We start from the raw sequence: 18141 nt of genomic DNA, 5'->3' as shown, positions 1-18141 counted from the left end.
CAAGTCATAACACATTACTTCCTAGTCACTTTACAACATTGACACATACACCTAACAAAGATAGAGTGCTAATAAAAAGAAGTCGTACTGTATTAATAATAAACTTTTTTGAACAAATTCCGTTAATAAAACTGAGAAAATGTCCATCTCCACAATGGCTTACATGGACACTATTTTGTATAACCCTACAAGAGCCCTCTAAGGGGGAGAATGAGCAAACTGAGGCTCAAGGTGTCTAAGTGACTTGTCAAGGGGAGGAAATAATAACTGCCACACCTGAGGACCAATGGCTTCACTGCACACTTTGGCCTTCATGCAAGATTATAGATGAAGGAAGAATGGACCTGAGTGAGTCCCATCACCTGCATGGTTTTCAAGTACTATGGCCCCAGGAACTGAAAGCCTGAGAGCCAATTCCAGTCTCTGCATAGCCCCCAGCCCCTGGCATTGCATATGCCCCTGAAGGGGTCTCCTGGACTCTCTCTCTCTGCCTCTATTCCCCAACTATAGGAAAGCGGAGCTCAGACCTGCCCCTTCCTCTTACAGTAGGGTGGGCCAGCTGAACAGCATTCATAGAGAGCCAGAATGGGTCAGGGCTGAGCATGGTTAGACACAAAGCCTTGTGTAGGAGTCAAGTCAAGCAGGAGATCATAGCTCAGCCAGAACTGCCAAATTGGTCTCCAGTGTCTCATCACCTGAAGCCCTTCTCCTTAACATTATGCCAAGGACCAGCAAGGGAACCTGAAAATACAGCTCATGTTCAGAATCATACTCAATAAAGTTTCTTCTCTGACTGATACCTTAGTACAGAATGATCTGTACGGAATACCAGAATCTATGCAGGATATAGTTTTTTTGTGTTAGCATCCTATCTTTGTTAGGTGCATGCGTCAATTTTGTGAAGTAACTAGGAAGTAATGTGACAGGAAATATTACTGGGAGCAGAATGTTTATTGGTTGTGATATTCAAATAAGAGAAGTTGTGATTATTTTTCTTACATAAAAATAACTATTTTTTATTTTAATAATATTTACATATTAATGGGGTACATGTGACATTTTGTTACATATGTAGAATGTGTAATGATCAAGTCAGTATTTGAGGCATCCATCACTTTGAGTATCCTTCCTTTTGACAGAAAATACAGCAAATTCATAATACGGATCTATTTTTGTCCCGTCTACTCATATGACATAGAGACCCAGCCTAAGACGCAGGCCTTAATCAGACCCCCCAGGTGACTTAGAGCCATTCCACACTTTATCCACCTGGTCAGCAGTACCTCGTATCCTCTGAGGCCCAGCGCCCATGTCGCCTCCCTGAAGCCACCGTCGTCCTTTCTGCTTCTCCACAGGCCAAGCAGATTTCACTGCAGCTCTGACTAGTGTCCCTGAGGCACACAGTCACTACACAACCCCCACATGTTGTGGCATTCACTGGTGTGCTATGATCAGCTGTCTGCTCATCTCTCTTCTCCACTGTGCTCTGAGCCCCTGGAAAGCAAAAAACCACATCTAATTCCCACAGCACCTGGCACAGAGGCTGGTATATGGCCAGTGTGATGCTTCATTGAGGCAGTTAACCCCTTTGGTATGTTCAAGAATCCCTACCAAAAAAGCCAGAGGATAGGAACTCATAGTCAAATGACAGGGAAAAAATGAGAATTGCAGACATTCCTGCTGCAAGATAGAGAACATAACTGTAAAGACTGAATGAATGAATGAATGAACAAATGCATACATACATACTCTCCCTGGTCTGAGAATGACCAAAAACACAAAGAAGGTATTCACCAGAGAAGTGACACAATTTGATCATGGAAACAAAGTGCCAAAACTGGGGGAGGGGGACTTGGGTAGGATATCCAGAAAATTATCATCAGTTGTGAAACAAATTCTTTTAGAGGAAGCTTGATTATTTTGATTATTGAAGTACGACATGAACCAACCCCAGAAGAGGCAGTGCCTGGTGGTGCCATGTCTTCATATTTTTGAGTGAGTTAAGTGGTGGCCATACAACAGCCAAATAATCAACCAGATACAGAAGAGGGTTGCAATGGTGTTATTAAAACCTCCGTATTTCACAAATGGGGAGTTGAAACCCAGAGGAAAGAAGAGACATACTTCAAGGAATATACTCAGTTACTTGGGTCTAGAACCCAAGTCTCCCAGCTCTCAACTCATTGGGAGAGGGAATTCCTTCCTCAAAGTAAAGCAAATGGCAAATTAGAAATTACAGAGAATGTGGTTGCAGGGAAACATACTTTCGGGATATAAGATGCTTTAAAGGCTTTTATTTTTCTTCCTCTTCCAAGAAGGACTGTTCATGTCAGTTTTTCTGCCCACCTACAAATACTTGGATTATCACAATTCAAGAATTAGTGAAGAAGATACCAAATTATACCTGAGGTGTTGTTAGAACAGTTGCTCTGCAATGGTGATTGACTTCATTATTGTTTGTATAACCACATAGAAAAGACATACATGTATTCGTCTTAAAACCAAAGCTGGAGGGCCCAGACCTGATACCAATTCCATCTTCACCATGAAGGATGGTGAGTTTGGGGAAGTTACTTTACTTCCCCCTCAAAACCTAGTTTCCTTAACTTTAAAATGAAAACAATATCTGCCTCATATAGATTATTTCTGATGATTAAATCAAACATTGTGCAGAGGCCTGGCACATGAAAGATACTTGATTAAAAATTAGCTCACCCCTTCCATTTTCCTCCTCTGCAAATTATTCAGAATGTACAATCAGAGCATGAGGAAACTACCACCACCTGGTGTACGGGTCTCAAAACTGCATAAGCGGCAGCAAAGGTGAAAATACAACTTCCACTGAGGAAACTGCAAAATGAAACTACACAAATGACTGAATGCATCATACAAAAAATACAACAATTATTCTGGGATAGAGGCCATTGGCCACTCCAGGATGATGGGTAGAATTAACAAGGGCAACCTTCCTGGAAGAGGTACACCTTATTTTGAAATGTAAGTGGAGGAAAAAGGATGTGGACAGATTGGAAAGAATGAAGAACAATTTTCTGCACAATTGGAAAAAAAGTCGGAAGCAAAAGAGGAAGGTCCTGGTGGCAAATAATGTCAACTGGAACATTTAGCCCAGCCATGCCTGTTAAGCCTTTAGGGTCTTTAATCACAGAAGAACAAGGAGGGAGGACTGGGTGTAAGTCACTCACTAGGAGGTTGCAACAACCAGCTGGTAGTATTCAAAGCACAACATCTCTAACTTGTGGATGTCGGCCTCTTGTTCAGGGCTTGCTTTAATGGACAGGTGTTGGAGGCAGGTAAGATCATTCTAGCAAAGAGCAGTCCCTCCCTGTAGAGCTCCAGAAAGGGTGGAAATGTGTTTCTCCTCAGACATATGGGTAATGGGCAGAGCTCATTGAAGACAGCAGTCCTGTCTGACCCATCTTGGGGATCCTGACAATACCTAACTCAGAGCTCAGTACCTGGAAGAAGCTCCGTACATGGCTAAGTGGATTTTCCCAGCTGGTAGGGATCAGAGGTTGTATTATGCAGTTAAGTTTCTAACCCAGCTCTCTACTCTGCATCCTTACTCTACATTCTGGGATGTGCTATGCCCTCTCTTTCTTCCAGATCTTTAAAGATGTTTCTCTTTATGCCTGAAAAATATTCTAAAGGTCCCAATTGAGACATGGCATCTTCCAAAAAGTCTTCTCTGACTTCCTGCAGCATTCAGTAATTCTCTTACAGTCCTAGCATGTATTACCACATCGCATTATGATTTGTCGTCCTCTTACCTGTATCTAGGTTTGACTCTAAGTTCCATGAAAGCAGAAACAATGATTCTCTTGTTGGTTGCTATTTCCCAAGAACCTAGTACAGTGCCTGGCACATTAGAGGTCCATAACGATTTAAGCTGAAATTAGCAGGATGTCCTAAAAACCCTAATCTGAGTAGCCTACAAATGAAGCAACTCAGGAGGGGAGGTAGCTCCCCTAGAAGTGCCCACCTCAGCTCCCTGAAGCTTGCCTCTGACACTTCTTTGGTCCAGAGTAGTGCTGTCGTTCAGTCTAGCACCATCTTGGCAGGGCCGACTTTGGCCACAATATCTCCACCTGTCATAGGTTTATGGGGATCCAAGTTATCCCACACCTTACACCACACTCTGAGCATGCTTCCATATGTTGAACAGCCTGGGTAACTGAACTGGGTATGGTGCCTCAAACACAAGGCTGACCAAGATAAACAAGGCCATGCACAATAGTTTTCTAGGGAGAGCTCACCCTGATTCTCTAACTCCAACAAAAAGAAGAGAAAATCATGAAGGAATGAGGCATGAAGGATTAACCCTCACAGGACTCAGAGCCCAGAGCCCTAGATAGTCACATTGGGCACTTCCACATGTTCCAGGTGACATCAGGTTAAAAGAGGCATCCAGGATAGCCCTAGAGTGGGAAAGAAGTCAACTGGGCAGTTTTTGGAGGAAAGGAAAGGATTAAAGCAGGGAGAGATGAGTAACCCACAGTGGAGGGCCTGGCAGCACCAGCCAACTATTTGTACATGGCCCCAGGCATTTCTAGCATCAGCCGCCTGCCAAAGTAAATACCTCCTCCCTCACAGCAGCTTCTTCTTCCTCCTCCTATCAGCAACATAAAGAAATCTATCTCCCCAAATCTAGAGGATGCACGATGGTGCCTTCCAGAGGGGAGAGTCTATTCTGAGGTGCATGAGAGATGTCACAGGCATGTGGCAACTGCCAGTAGCAGACTTCAAAATCAACCTGGTTTCTGCAGTAATATTTTTCCCTCCTCCTTAAATTCAGCCCAGTTATTTAATAATGTGAACTCACCCATCATTTGTTTCCCCACAGGGCTTACCCCTCCCTGCAGCTAAGCATGACCTAGGTGGCCCATTTCTCCCAGAAAACCTCCCACACTGCTAGATCACTTGTATTTTGCAGGCACTGATGGTATTAGGCAGTTCTGCTACTTACTATACCCAGGCATCTATACATGGTGGTGGGACTGTTGCAATAAGTGGATTTGGCAAGAGCTGGCTGCTATAACAGAGTCTGGTCCTTTTGAGTTCTTCACTCCTATACTCCCATCCCTTATAACAATCCCTTGATTCCAGATTTTACCTTCAAAAGTGGACCATGGCCTTGGCTGGGTTCTGCCCCATAGACTTCTTATGACATAATTACTCTTGCCCTCTGACCATGAGTCTAGCCAAGCCTGACCCTCATTCTATTGATTCGCCCTGAGTCATTTGTCAACAGAGTGGCTGATTCCCCGTGTCTAGGTAAGCATGGGAGGCATTTCATCAAGACATTTGACACCTTCCTTTGAAAGGTGAATGACAGAACATATGAATACCTCTGATTAACATCTAAAGGCAGCCGGGGCCCCCCTGAAATTGCCCCTCCATGGAGTAGCTCTCAAGTAAATCCACTGTAGGGACCTCTACCATTTCAACTCATTTATCAGCAATTCCATCTGCTTCAATTTGGGGCACTCCATGTGTCTGTGGTTCTGTCATGTCTCTCTGGAGTTGCTCCCTCAACGGTTTCTGGCCTCCATGCATGGCCTAATCCAGGCTGTCATCTTTCCCTGTGATATAGCTGGGGCAGCTGTTGCTTCTTCCTCGATAGTAGAGGGGTGGTTGCCAGAAAGCCTGAGGGGCCCACCATCCAATTTCCATGCTTGGAGCTAAATATGCATGTGCATGATCTTTCCTTGAAACTGGAGGAGGGGACTCAGTCCCTCTACCTTTTACACCAAATTGATTTGATGTCTTCTTAAGGAGTGGTGAGGTCATCCCTGCTCCTATTCAACTTCAAAGGCCAACTTCTCATTAACCTAATTGCCTGACTTTGAGTAACTTGCTTAAATTACCAATTAATGGATGGCCATTTCTGTCCAAACAAAACATTTTAAAGCATTCCCACTGAAAATAAATTGCTTTCAACCATGACAAATGAGTGTCTACCTGCCCAGAATTATTATAATAACTATAGTAGGTATGCTTCTAAGCACTGAGAAATTTGTAAAAGAAAAGTACCAGTGGCAAATTTATATATATTACAAATTGTTGAATCCTTTTTCAGTGATGGAATTTTGAAAAGTTTTTCATTCAACCAAGCTACACTAAAGTATAAAGGCAATTAAATGTCAGGGCTGTAGAGCATTTGTCCTTTGGAGGGGGGGAATCCCTCAGGAAAAGAATACCGAAACTATCAGTAGCCCCTGTTGGCTATATTAAAGCTAATAAAATTACTAATGATACATTCCTCGTCAATGAGGGGTCCCTGCTGTGCTGCTTCTGTCTGCTTTAGTCACAGTGAACAAGGCAGGAAGATTGAATTATTGGCTGGATTCATTTTATTGGTTTGAGCTTTAGGGGGAGGGAGTTATATGGGAGATTCTTTTTATGTTTTGCTTTTTTGCTCTCAAGAAGCAGCTGGTTTTGTCTTTAGTTTCAAATGTCTATTTAAAAAAATCAGGGCAATCATTAGAAGGCAGGAATTTGGACATGGGCACTTCCCAAAACACCTGATGTCAATCCCAGCTGGGTTTGCCAGGAATGGCCTATCAAGTCTCAACTGGGAGAGATATGGGGGAGGAGGAGATAAAGGGCTGAATTGATGGCTGCAGGCATGGCTGACAGGTGGCCCTAGGAGAGGAAGGGAGGGGGTGCATGTTAGGAAGTGCCAGAGAGGAAGAAAAGCTGTGGACTCAGTGGACCAAAGCTTCGGGACAGAGACTGGGCCTGCAGCCCTTGGGCTCACCAGCACTACCACGGTCGGATCCCTGTCCCTTGCTGATGCAAGCTCCCTTTTAAAATTTCTATAGGGAGATGGCAGCTATGGCATGCAAGATATCACAATTCCACTTGCCTCGAGAACAGCATGGGCTTCCTGAAGAAGTGTACATTCCCAGTGTAATTTCCTGGGAATGGAAACTTCTGACAGAAAGAGGTGGTGCTGATTTCAGAGTGTAGTTTCCTGAAAGCCTGGGATCTTATTACTGCTCATTCCCTTTAGCATCAACAAAATAGCCTTTTCCACCATAGACTGGGGCACTGGGGATAACAAAGAGAAACCCAAAACCTGGACTGAAACTCGGCCTCCAATCTCTCAGACTGTCTCCTCCTAACTGGAAGGGCCCAGACCCAAGATGCCATGAAAACTCTGGAGCATGTGTCTGTGTACCGAGCAGCCAACTCTAGCACTGGATGCTCCTCTGAGAAACACTGCTCAGAGCCCAGGACTGTGATCATGCCCACAGCTCGACAGTGGTCTGGTATTTATGCCCATCTGCATACTGGCTTTCCTTTAGATCCATTCTTTGCTCTTTTCTGACCTACGCTGTACCCAGGGGGTTGACTTCAGTGGATCTCATCTTCTGCTTTAGCTGATGGGATGCACCGGCAGGAGATTGGGGCAGGTGGTGGGAGGTGGCTGAGGAAAGAGCATATTTCTTCCTCCTGCTCCCTCCCTAAGGTGATAAGGGACACCATTATGGCAGTGGCTGTGCCCTCTACCCACAGCCACAGCTGGGTGCCTTCTCTGCCTCAACCTCAGCTCCAGGATTCAGCAGCAACATTCCTCCTGTGGGAGGCTGAATAACGGCACCCAAAGATAGCCAGCTCCTGATCTCTGGCACCTGTGAATGTTGCCTTATATGACAAAAAGTACTTGCAGATGTGATTCAGTTAAGGAGCTTGAGGTGAGAGATTAATCTAGATTGCCTGGGTGGACGCTAAATGCTACCACACGCATGCTTATGAGAGGAAGACAGAGGAAAACTGGATGCAGAAGAAGAGTCCATGTGCCAGAGAAGCAGAGAATGTAGTGACACAAACACAAACGAAGGAATGCCAGCAGCAACCAGAGGCTGAAAAAGCAAAGAACAGTCTCCATCGGAGCCTCCAGAAGGAACCAGCCGGGCCAACACCTTCACTTTAACCCAGGGAAACTCACCTTGGATTTCTGGTCTCCCAAGCTGTAAGCGAATACATTTCTGTTGTTTTAAGTCACTAAGTCTGTGTCAATTTGTGACAGCAGCCTAGGAAACTAATAAACCTCTCCAGCCTGCTGTTGATCATGGCAACATCTCTTGTTGGTTCCCACACCTCTGTAAATAGTCCTTTATGAAAGAGTCTATTCAAAAATCCTCACTGAGTGTGTCTTCTGTTTTCTGCTGGAATCCTGAGATATTCTACTTCTTTCCAAAAAGAATGTAAGATAGCATATTTTTTAACGAGACAATAAAATTGTGCCTAATGAGAAAATGCAGAAGAAAAAGAAAATAAAGATAAAAAAATAGGAAGCCAAAACAATTATTAGTATCCATAATTCATGCCATACAGGCCTGAACACTTTTCAAGAATTAGCCTGCAGCTTCCACTCTAAGTTCCCTAGCAGCCAGCACTAAAAAGCATGATCAATTAGAGTTTACTATTTCCTAAACTGGCTTGATAATAGGAATCACCTGAATACCTTGCCAAACATCGAAATATCCAGTCATCACCTCATCCAAGACTTGTCAAATCAGAACCTACTAGGGAAGCAGTAAGAATCTGGAACAAATATCCAAGATGAATTAGATGAGTCACAAATTGTGTAAGATAAGAAAAAAACATGGGGGTTGTTCACAAGAGCAATAGTGTTAATGATGTGAAAAAAGCCATCATCTCAGGACTAGAAAGATGTCTCCAATTGTGTGCTCTTCCAGCTGTGGTCAAGCACTGTCTCCAGTGCCCATGCAGCATACAGCTTCATGATAAGGTGACAAAAGTAAGTGATCTAATCATGAAAAATAAAATTACACCTTAACTGTGCTCTAAATGAAGATACATACTGTAGTGGACTCCTGCATTGCATCTTCGGTTTCCATTCCCTGTTCTCCTTTCTAGATAAGCTCCCAATGTCCTTCCAGGGATTTCTGTGGTCAGGAGTGAACAGGCAACTGAGATTAAGGCAATCGAGGTGTTTTATTCCCCTGCCTGTAATGACTGCAGCAAGGAAAAGTAGTGAACTACACCAATCCAATTGGGCCTTTTTCTAGATATTCCAGGTTTACAGTCAGCTTTTTATTCTAGATGGTATAGTATGCACAGGAGTGAGACCTTGACACCAGGAAGGAGGCCAGGCTGAGAATAAAATAGATGCAGAGAACATTGCAGGGGTAAGAACCCCACAGAAAACAGACAGAACTTCGATCCAACCATGCATGAAACTTACTCCACCACTTCATTTTTTTCAATCATACAATACAATAATTTTCTGTATTGGGTAGGCCATCTTCAGTTGGGTTTTCTTTTACTTGCATCTGAAAGCATCATATGCAGTATGGCTGTTGTATTTATTTAATAGTCTCCATTTCAAAATCCACCTATAGGAAAAGTTACAGGAAAATACATCCTTGGAGAGGGATAAACTCTACCAAAAAGAAGCACTTAATGCTTTTTTTAGTGACTACTGTTATTTAGGGGATTTTTTTTCTCTCCTCCTGCTTGCCTTATGAAAAGAATTGCTAAGTGAGGAGCCTGGATGACTTGTTCTGATTTTTGTCCTCCTGATTACTCACCATCACCAAGACTTTCTATGCAACCAGACACTAATCTTGAGTTTATTTTTATCTACTATTGTACCATCAACCTTTCAGGCATTTCCCAGAAAACATCATTTCAAAGACTCAGTGACCTAACTCGCCAGCCATCATTGACTCTCTAGACCCATAATCAGCAATCGTTTGGGGAATCCAAGGGTGTACTCACTGCTTGGTGAGGAGGAGCTGTTAGGATTCACAGTGGGGAAAGAAGAGGAATAAATGGTAACTGTATATTCATTGGAACCTGATTACATTTGGGGAATACTGGCTGTCCTCTCCCAACCACCTCAGCTATTTTGAATGACAAACACTGATCTCTTAGCTGGAATGGTTAATGCTTAGTCAAATACTTCTGATCTAAAGCTTGGAGTCTGATTCACATCAACATAAAAATATTCCTGATGGAGGGAGTTGTTAAATGGGTAAAGAGTTTCGGTTTTGCAAAATGAAAGAAGCTCTGGATGTTAGTTACACAACAATACAACCAATACTTAACAATACTGCACTGTAAACTTAAAACTTATTTAGCTGGTACATTTTATGTGATGTATATTTGACTACTATATATATTGATATGTATATAGATGTAGATATAGATACTACTGAAAGGGGAGGGGAATTAAATTTTATTGTTGCCCAGTAAGGTTTACACTTTAGATAGTAATAATATCTAACACATATAGAAGTAGTTATAATATGCCAGTTACTATTTCTTAAGTGTTTTTCACTTATTTGATTTACCCTTCATAACAAACCTGAGGGAGATATTACCATTATTATTACTCTTATTATATTTCCAATTCACTGATAAGGTAGCAGAGCCATGGAGAGGTTGTTAAACTAGCCCAGGGTCATCTGGGCTGAGCTGAGATAAAGGCTTATTCAATTTCTCCCCAAAGTTCATACTCTTCCCAAGAAGCTCTGTTGCCTCTCTCTAGTTTGTGATCAGGAACCATTACACACATTTTACAGAAGCAGAAACTGAAGCTCAGAATTTAAAAAGTGGCCCAAGATTATGAAACTAGCAAGTGCAGAGTCCCGACACATATTTAGCAAGTACAGAGTCCAGACACATATTTAGCCTCTCTAGTTCCAATGCCTTAGTCAAGAGCACAATCTAGAGAATGTTCTAAGGCAAGAATCTCAATCTTAAAAATTATTGAGGATGCTACATCGCACTTATTCTACAATTGACCACATAATTGGACGTAAAACACTCCTCAGCAAATGCAAAAGAACAGAAATCACATCAAACTGTCTCTCAGACCACAGTGTAATCAAATTAGAATCCAGGGTTAAGAATCTCACTCAAAACTGCACAACTACATGGAAACTGAACAAAGTGCTCCTAAATGACTACTGGGTAAATAATGAAATGAAGGCAGAAGTAAAGATGTTATTTGAAACCAATGAGAACAAAGACACAATGTACCAGAATTTCTGGGACACATTTAAAGCTGGGTGTAGAGGGAAATCTATAGCACTAAATGCCCACAAGAGAAAGCAGGAAAGATCTAAAATCAACACCCTAACATCACAACTAAAAAAACTAGAGAAGCAAGAGCAAACAAATTCAAAAGCTAACAGAAGATAAGAAATAACTAAGATCAGAGCAGAACTGAAGGAGATAGAGACACGAAAAACCATTCAAAAAATCAATGAATCCCAGGAGTTGGTTTGTTGAAAAGATCAACAAAATAGACTGCTAGCAAGACTAATAAAGAAGAAAAGCGAGGAGAATCAAATAGACACAATAAAAGATGATAAAGGGGATATCACCACTGACCCCACAGAAATACAAACTACCATCAGAAAATGTTATAAACACCTCTACGCAAATAAACTAGAAAATCTAGAATAAATGGATAAATTCCTGGACATACACACCCTCCCAAGACAAAACCAGGAATAGGTTGAATCTCTGAATAGACCAATAACAGATTCTGAAATTGAGGCAATAATTAATAGCCTACCAACCAAAAAAAGTCCAGGACCAGACGGATTCACAGTCAAATTCTGCCAGAGGTACAAAGAGGAACTGGTACCATTCCTTCTGAAACTATTCTGATCAATAGAAAAAGAAGGAACCCTCCCTAACTCAGTTTATGAGGCCAGCATCATCCTGATACCAAACCTGGCGGAGACACAACAAAAAAAAAAAGAGAGAGAGAGAATTTTAGGCCAATATCCGTGATGAACATCGATGCGAAATCCTCAATAAAATACTGGCAAACCGAATCCAGCAGCACATCAAAAAGCTTATCCACCACCATCAAGTTGGCTTCCTCTCTGGGATGCAAGGCTGGTTCACCATATGCAAATCAATAAACGTAATCCATCACATAAACAGAACCAACGACAAAAACCACATGATTATCTCAATAGATGCAGAAAAGGCCTTTGATAAAATTAAACAGCCTTTCATACTAAAAACTCTCAATAAACTAGGTATCAATGGAACGTATCTCAACATAATAAGAGCTATTTATGACAAAACCACAGCCAATATCATATTGAATGGGCAAAAACTGGAAGCATTCTCTTTGAAAACTGGCACAAGACAAGGATGCCCTCTCTTACCACTCCTGTCCAACATAGTATTGGAAGTTCTGGCCAGGGCAATCAGGCAAGAGAAGGCAATAAAGGGTATTCAAATAGGAAGAGAGGAAGTCAAATTGTTTCTGTTTGCAGATAACATGATTATATATTTAGAAAACCCCATCATCTGAGCCCCAAATCTCCTTAAGCTGATAAGCAACTTCAGCAAAGTCTCAGGATACAAAATCAATGTACAAAAATCACAGGCATTCCTATACACCAATAATAGACAGAAAGCCAAATCATGAGTGAACTCCCATTCACAATTGCTACTAAGAGAATAAAATACCTAGGAATAAAACTTACAAGGGATGTGAATGACCTCTTCAAGGAGAACTACAAACCACTGCTCAAGTAAATAACAGAGGACACAAACAGATGGAAAAACATTCCTTGCTCATGGATAGGAAGAATCAATATCGTGAAAATGGCCTTACTGCCCAAAGTAATTTATAGATTCAATGCTATCCCCATCAAGCTACCACTGACTTTCTTCACAGAATTGGAAAAAACTACTTCAAACTTCATATGGAACCAAAAAAGAGCCCGCATTGCCAAGACAATCCTGGGCAAGAAGAACAAAGCTGGAGGCATCATGCTACCTGGCTTCAAACTTTACAACAAGGCCACAGTAACCAAAACAGCCATGGTACTGGTACCAAAACAGATATATAGACCAAAGGAACAGAATGGAGGTCTCAGAAATAACACCACACATCTACCACCATCTGATCTTTGACAAACCTGACACACACAAGCAATGGGGAAAAGATTCCCTATGTAATAAATGGTGTTGGGAGAACCAGCTAGCCATATGCAGATAACTGAAACTGGACCCCTTCCTTACACCTTATACAAAAATCAACTCAAGATGGATCAAAGACTTAAATGTAAGACCTAGGACCATAAAAATCCTGGAAGAAAACCTAGGCAATACCATTCAGGACATAGGCATGGGCAAAGACTTCATGTCTAAAACACCAAAAGCAATGGCAACAAAAGCCAAAATTGACAAATGGGATCTAATTAAACTAAAGAGCTTCTGCACAGCAAAAGAAACTATCATCAGAGTAAATAGGCAACCTACAGAATGGAAGAAAATTTTTGCAATCTATCCATATGACAAAGGGCTAATATCCAGAATCTACAAAGAACTTAAACAAATTTACAAGAAAAAAGCAAACAACCCCATCATAAAATGGGCAAAGGATATGAACAAACACTTCTCAAAAGAAGATATTTATGCAGCCAAGAGACATATGAAAAAATGCTCATCCTCACTGGTCATTAGATAAATGCAAATCAAAACCACAATGAGATGCCATCTCACGGCAGTTAGAATGGCGATCATTGAAAAGTCAGGAAACAACAGATGCTGGAGAGGTTGTGGAGAAATAGGAACCCTTTTACACTGTTGGTGGGAGTGTAAATTAGTTCAACCATTGTGGAAGAATGTGTGGCGATTCCTCAAGTATCTAGAACTTGAAATACCATTTGACCCAGCAATCCCATTACTGGGTACATACCCAAAGGATTATAAATAATTCTACAATAAAGACACATGCACACGTATGTTTATGGCGGCACTATTCAAAATAGCAAAGACTTGGAACCAACCCAAATGTCCATCAGTGATAGACTGGATTAAGAAAATGTGGCACATATACACCATGGAATACTATGCAGCCATAAAAAAGTATGAGTTCATGTCCTTTGCAGGGACATGGATGAAGCTGGAAACCATCATTCTCAGCAAACTATCACAAGATCAGAAAACCAAACACTGCATGTTCTCACTCGTAAGTGGGAGTTGAACAATGAGAACACATGAACACAGGGAGGGGAACATCACACACCGAGGCCTCTGGGGGTGGGGGGCTAGGGGAGGGATAACATTAGGAGAAATACCTAATGTAGGTGATGGCTGCCGCAAACCACCATGGCACGTGTATACCTATGTAACAAAACTGCACGTTCTGCACATGTAACCCAGAACTTAAAGTATAATAAAAAATTTATTGAGGATGCTAAATGTTGTTTGCTTGGTTATATCTATTTATATTTATGGCATGGATTAGTGCTGTTCTATAGAAGTTTCTGTGAGAATAGAAGTATTCTGTGTCTGCACTGTCCAATATGACAGCCACTAGCCACATATGGCTATTGAACAATTGAAATGTGGCTGATGTGGTTGAGGAAATAACATTTTTCATTTTGTTTCATATTAATTAATTCACACGTGAATAACCAGATAAGATAGGTAGAGCTATAAAACCAAATGCATTTTTTTTTTGAGAGGGAGTCTCGTTCTTGTCGCCCAGGCTGGAGTGCAGTGGCATGATCTTGGCTCACTGCACCCTCTGCCTCCAGCATTCAAGTGATGTTCCTGCCTCAGCTTATGGAGAGCTGAGATTACAGGCGCCCACCACCACGCCCAGATTTTTTTTTTTTTTTGTATTTTTAGTAGAGATGGAGTTTCACTGTGTTGAAACCCCTAACCTCAGATGATCCACCCGCCTCCCAAAGTGCTAGGATTACAGGCGTGAGCCACTGTGCAGGCCCCAAAACACATTTCTAAAATGCATTTTTATTGTGGTAAAATACAAAACCAAAACATTTGTAAAACACTGCAATATGCACACGCATTCCCTAAGCCATCAGAGCCCTGACATCACCACACCGAATGTGGCCTCCGGAACACTCCATTGTACACTTGTTAAAAAGTCAACAACCTTTTATTATGAAAATAGTTTTGACCTCAGGGACCCTCTGAAAGGACCCTTAAGGAACTGGGGACCACACTTTGAGTCCAGGACCAACAAGGGGAGCTCAGCTCCTCCATGCCCAGGAAGGACAACTGGTCACCCTATTCTGGGACTGCTGCCTCCCACTTTGAGGGGCTTTCCACTTTCCCTGCCCCACCTCCGCCCCCGCCCTGGTAGTTTGTAGTCTTGTTAACAGACCAAAGGCCTTTGACGTGCTGGGTCCTGCGAGAGGCCGAGGACCCACTCTCCAACGCAGCGGACCTGAAGGAAGAAGGGCAGCCACAGCAAGCTCGGCTTGCTGCGGGAGGAATTTCCCTCTGAGGTTCCAAGCCCCCAAGGCAGGCAGATCAAACCAAAAAGTAGAAAGAAACGCGCAAAGTGAAATTCAAGATGCTGGAAAAGATGGAAAGGCCTCTTCTCCCTGGAGTCTCCCGCTTCTCCCCTCCTTCCGGCAGGCAGGAAAGAGGAGGCCATCGGAGGCGGAGAAGAGAAGGCTCCGCAGGGTCTTCTGGGGCAACTCAATCAAAGAAATTATTTTCCCACAGACGAAGCCAAGAATATCTTAATGGCTTTTTCCTGATTGAGGGATAAATCTTCTATTAATTTATGGCTCAGACCCAAAGCAGTTGTGTCAACTCCACCCGCCCTCTAAAACAATGTGAGAAATGCTTCAAAATTCCACTTATTTTGATGATTTCCCTCTTCCCGTTCCTATTTCTTCTTCTTTTTTCACTCTGTGCTTTCATAGTCCATCCTGATCCTTTTCATCCTACCTCTTCTATTTTCAAATCAATCGCCAACTCCTCAATGCCACGTCCCTACCCCAGGGAAAAGTCTCTGGACGTTCCCAGTTAGAGGGGCTAAAACCTTCTGAAGTGCGACTCCCCTGCACCCCCATGCAGGGTAAAGACCGCGAGAAGAGCTGGATGGCGTCGGAGAGAAGCTGCACCCGCGCTAGCGCCTCACCGCTTACCCTGGCAGCCCTGAGCGACTGGGTGCTGAGACCCAGTGCGACAGTAAATCAAAAGACAGCAGACGGCGAGAAGCCAGTGTCACAGCGACTCACAGTCACTACTGCCCAGCGCAATTATCACGCCCTGGGGGTAATTGCTAAATGGCCCGTGTTTATGGACTCGGCCACCTCGCTCGGCTGATCCCTACAGCCAGCTACTCCCGGCGCCGGAGCAGGGGCGCGCTCCCCCTCGGGAGAAGGTCTGCGAGTGGGTAAACTGACCCGAGGTTCTTTGGGAATTCTGCCCACTGTCGCCTGCGGGACGCCTGATGCTCGAGTCAGTGTGCTACAGATGATTTAGGTAATCTAGGCCGTGCAGAGAAGATGCGAGTTATTCCCAAATCCACTTGCTAACTGCATGTCCTTAGGCAAGTTAATTTAACTCTCTTACCACAGTTTACTTATCTGTAAAACGGGGATAATGTAAGTAATGACCTAACTGGGATTTGGTAAAAGGCAAATGAGCTAATACATATAAAGGTTGTGAAAACAGTGCCTGGTATATGGGCACAACGATTACTAAGAACAGATTGAAAAGTCGTGACTGGTGTTAAAAATTAAGCTGTTATGCAGCTACACTCCGTGACACCTGTTCTGGTGACAACGTGAGTAAAGGGACCTACGTAGCCCTGACCGCCCAGCTTAACTTACAGCTCCTTTGTGTGGGTGTAGCCCAGGCGGGGAAAACAGCGTGGACATGCTTCGTGCTAACACTACCACTACCGGAATGAAGTGCGAGCAGCTAGACCTCTGGCCTCCACCCGAAATGGGCCTCCTGCCTCCGGACTGACTCCCGAGCCATCTTCTCGCTTCCTCTGGCACCGAAGGCCCACAGGGTCCAGCTTTTTAATGGGCCCTTTATCTGCTACAGACCGCCTCGACGAACCGGAATCAAATCTGGGCCCTTGCAAGGACGGAGGCCGAAGTCTAGATCCCGAAGTAAGCCCAGTAGGAAGCGGCGCGGTCCAGACACCCGGGGACCGGTGACCTGTCTGCACTCCCGGCCACGCGGCGCGTCGCTGGGCTGGAATCCCACCTTGCATCCACCGCGCGGGATTCCAAACAGCCAGTATAAACTATCCTCTTACCCCACCACAACAGGGAAGATGGCGGGACCCAGGCTTCCGTGCAAGTTTCCAGAATTATACCTGAGGGTCCGGGCGGCAAGGCCTGCATCCACCTCTCGCCCGGACTTTCGTTTACAGCCGCGCCCTCTAAGGGAAGGTTTATGACCACAGCGCTGCAGAACAGAGTCGGGTGGGCACTATACATGGCCGTGGCGCCTGCGGCCCCAGCTCGCGGCCTGGGGCGCGCTCGCAGGGCCCCATCCTTCTGGTGCGCGGGGCTCTGGAGCCAGAAAGTGTACACAGACCATAAATTTTCCGCCCTGCTCGGCGCAGCTCTCCGAGGTCAGGGGCCGGCCGCCCGCCTCCAACCGCCTCTGCGCGCCTACCCCTTAACTTGCGTCCGGGTAACTGCCGCCGACAGCAAAACGTAGCTGGTGCCCGCTGCAGCGCCTAGCCAGACTGCAACGCCGCCTCATCACTGTTACAGCACCCTAGTAGCGTTGGGACTCGGGGAGCAGCCTGCGGCTCCCCACCGCTGCCTACGAGGCAGGAGTTAGGGAATGGAGTAAAGAGGGAAGAAGGCGAGGCCTGGGGGAGGCCAGGTGAGAATGGAAAGCGAAAGGGATGACTAGGAGCAGGGAGGAAGACGCTTCTGTGGCTTCTGGACCCATTTATGTCTTTCTATCCTGAGGTTTGGGGTGGGAGGTACACAGTAAGTGCACGTGGCGACCGACGTTCGCTTAAAGATGTTTTTGCACTTGGGCCCTCTCTTCCTTCGGCTGTGAACCTTGCATACCGTACAGGGCATACCATACAGGGCATACCATGAATGCGCTTTCCCTGGGGATGCAGCGAGATGACTTTTAATAGATTTCTCTATGGTTGGGTATACACTAACATTGTAAGGTGAATATTTGAAATAATGATCAGAATAATTCGTCAAAAAGAACAAATCATTTCTTTGAACTTTTTTTCTCCTTGACTGTAGAAAATCGCCGCAGACCACAAGTTCGGAGATTGGAGTAAGAAAGGCAGATTTCTGTCAGAGGCTCGGCCACGCCCCTTACCCGCCAAGTACCTTGATCAAATTACCC

The 18141-nt window shown here is 44.0% G+C and overlaps 2 annotated features.

Moving 5' to 3' along the window:
* Nucleotides 14669-15597: an enhancer, noted in NCBI's record as "H3K4me1 hESC enhancer chr1:221069442-221070370 (GRCh37/hg19 assembly coordinates)". NCBI's record gives its function as "activates a minimal SCP1, AML or CMV promoter by ChIP-STARR-seq in naive and primed H9 embryonic stem cells {active_cell/tissue: H9 hESC(naive and primed)}" and the evidence as "EXISTENCE:reporter gene assay evidence [ECO:0000049][PMID:30033119]".
* Nucleotides 17255-17894: an enhancer, noted in NCBI's record as "H3K27ac-H3K4me1 hESC enhancer chr1:221067145-221067784 (GRCh37/hg19 assembly coordinates)". NCBI's record gives its function as "activates a minimal SCP1, AML or CMV promoter by ChIP-STARR-seq in primed H9 embryonic stem cells {active_cell/tissue: H9 hESC(primed)}" and the evidence as "EXISTENCE:reporter gene assay evidence [ECO:0000049][PMID:30033119]".

The sequence above is a fragment of the Homo sapiens genome, chromosome 1 (genome assembly GCF_000001405.40).
Source record: "Homo sapiens chromosome 1, GRCh38.p14 Primary Assembly".
NCBI classification, from domain to species: Eukaryota; Metazoa; Chordata; class Mammalia; order Primates; family Hominidae; genus Homo; species Homo sapiens.
The sequence above is the reverse complement of the archived record's forward strand: the minus strand, read 5'-3'. Positions and strand labels throughout refer to the sequence as shown.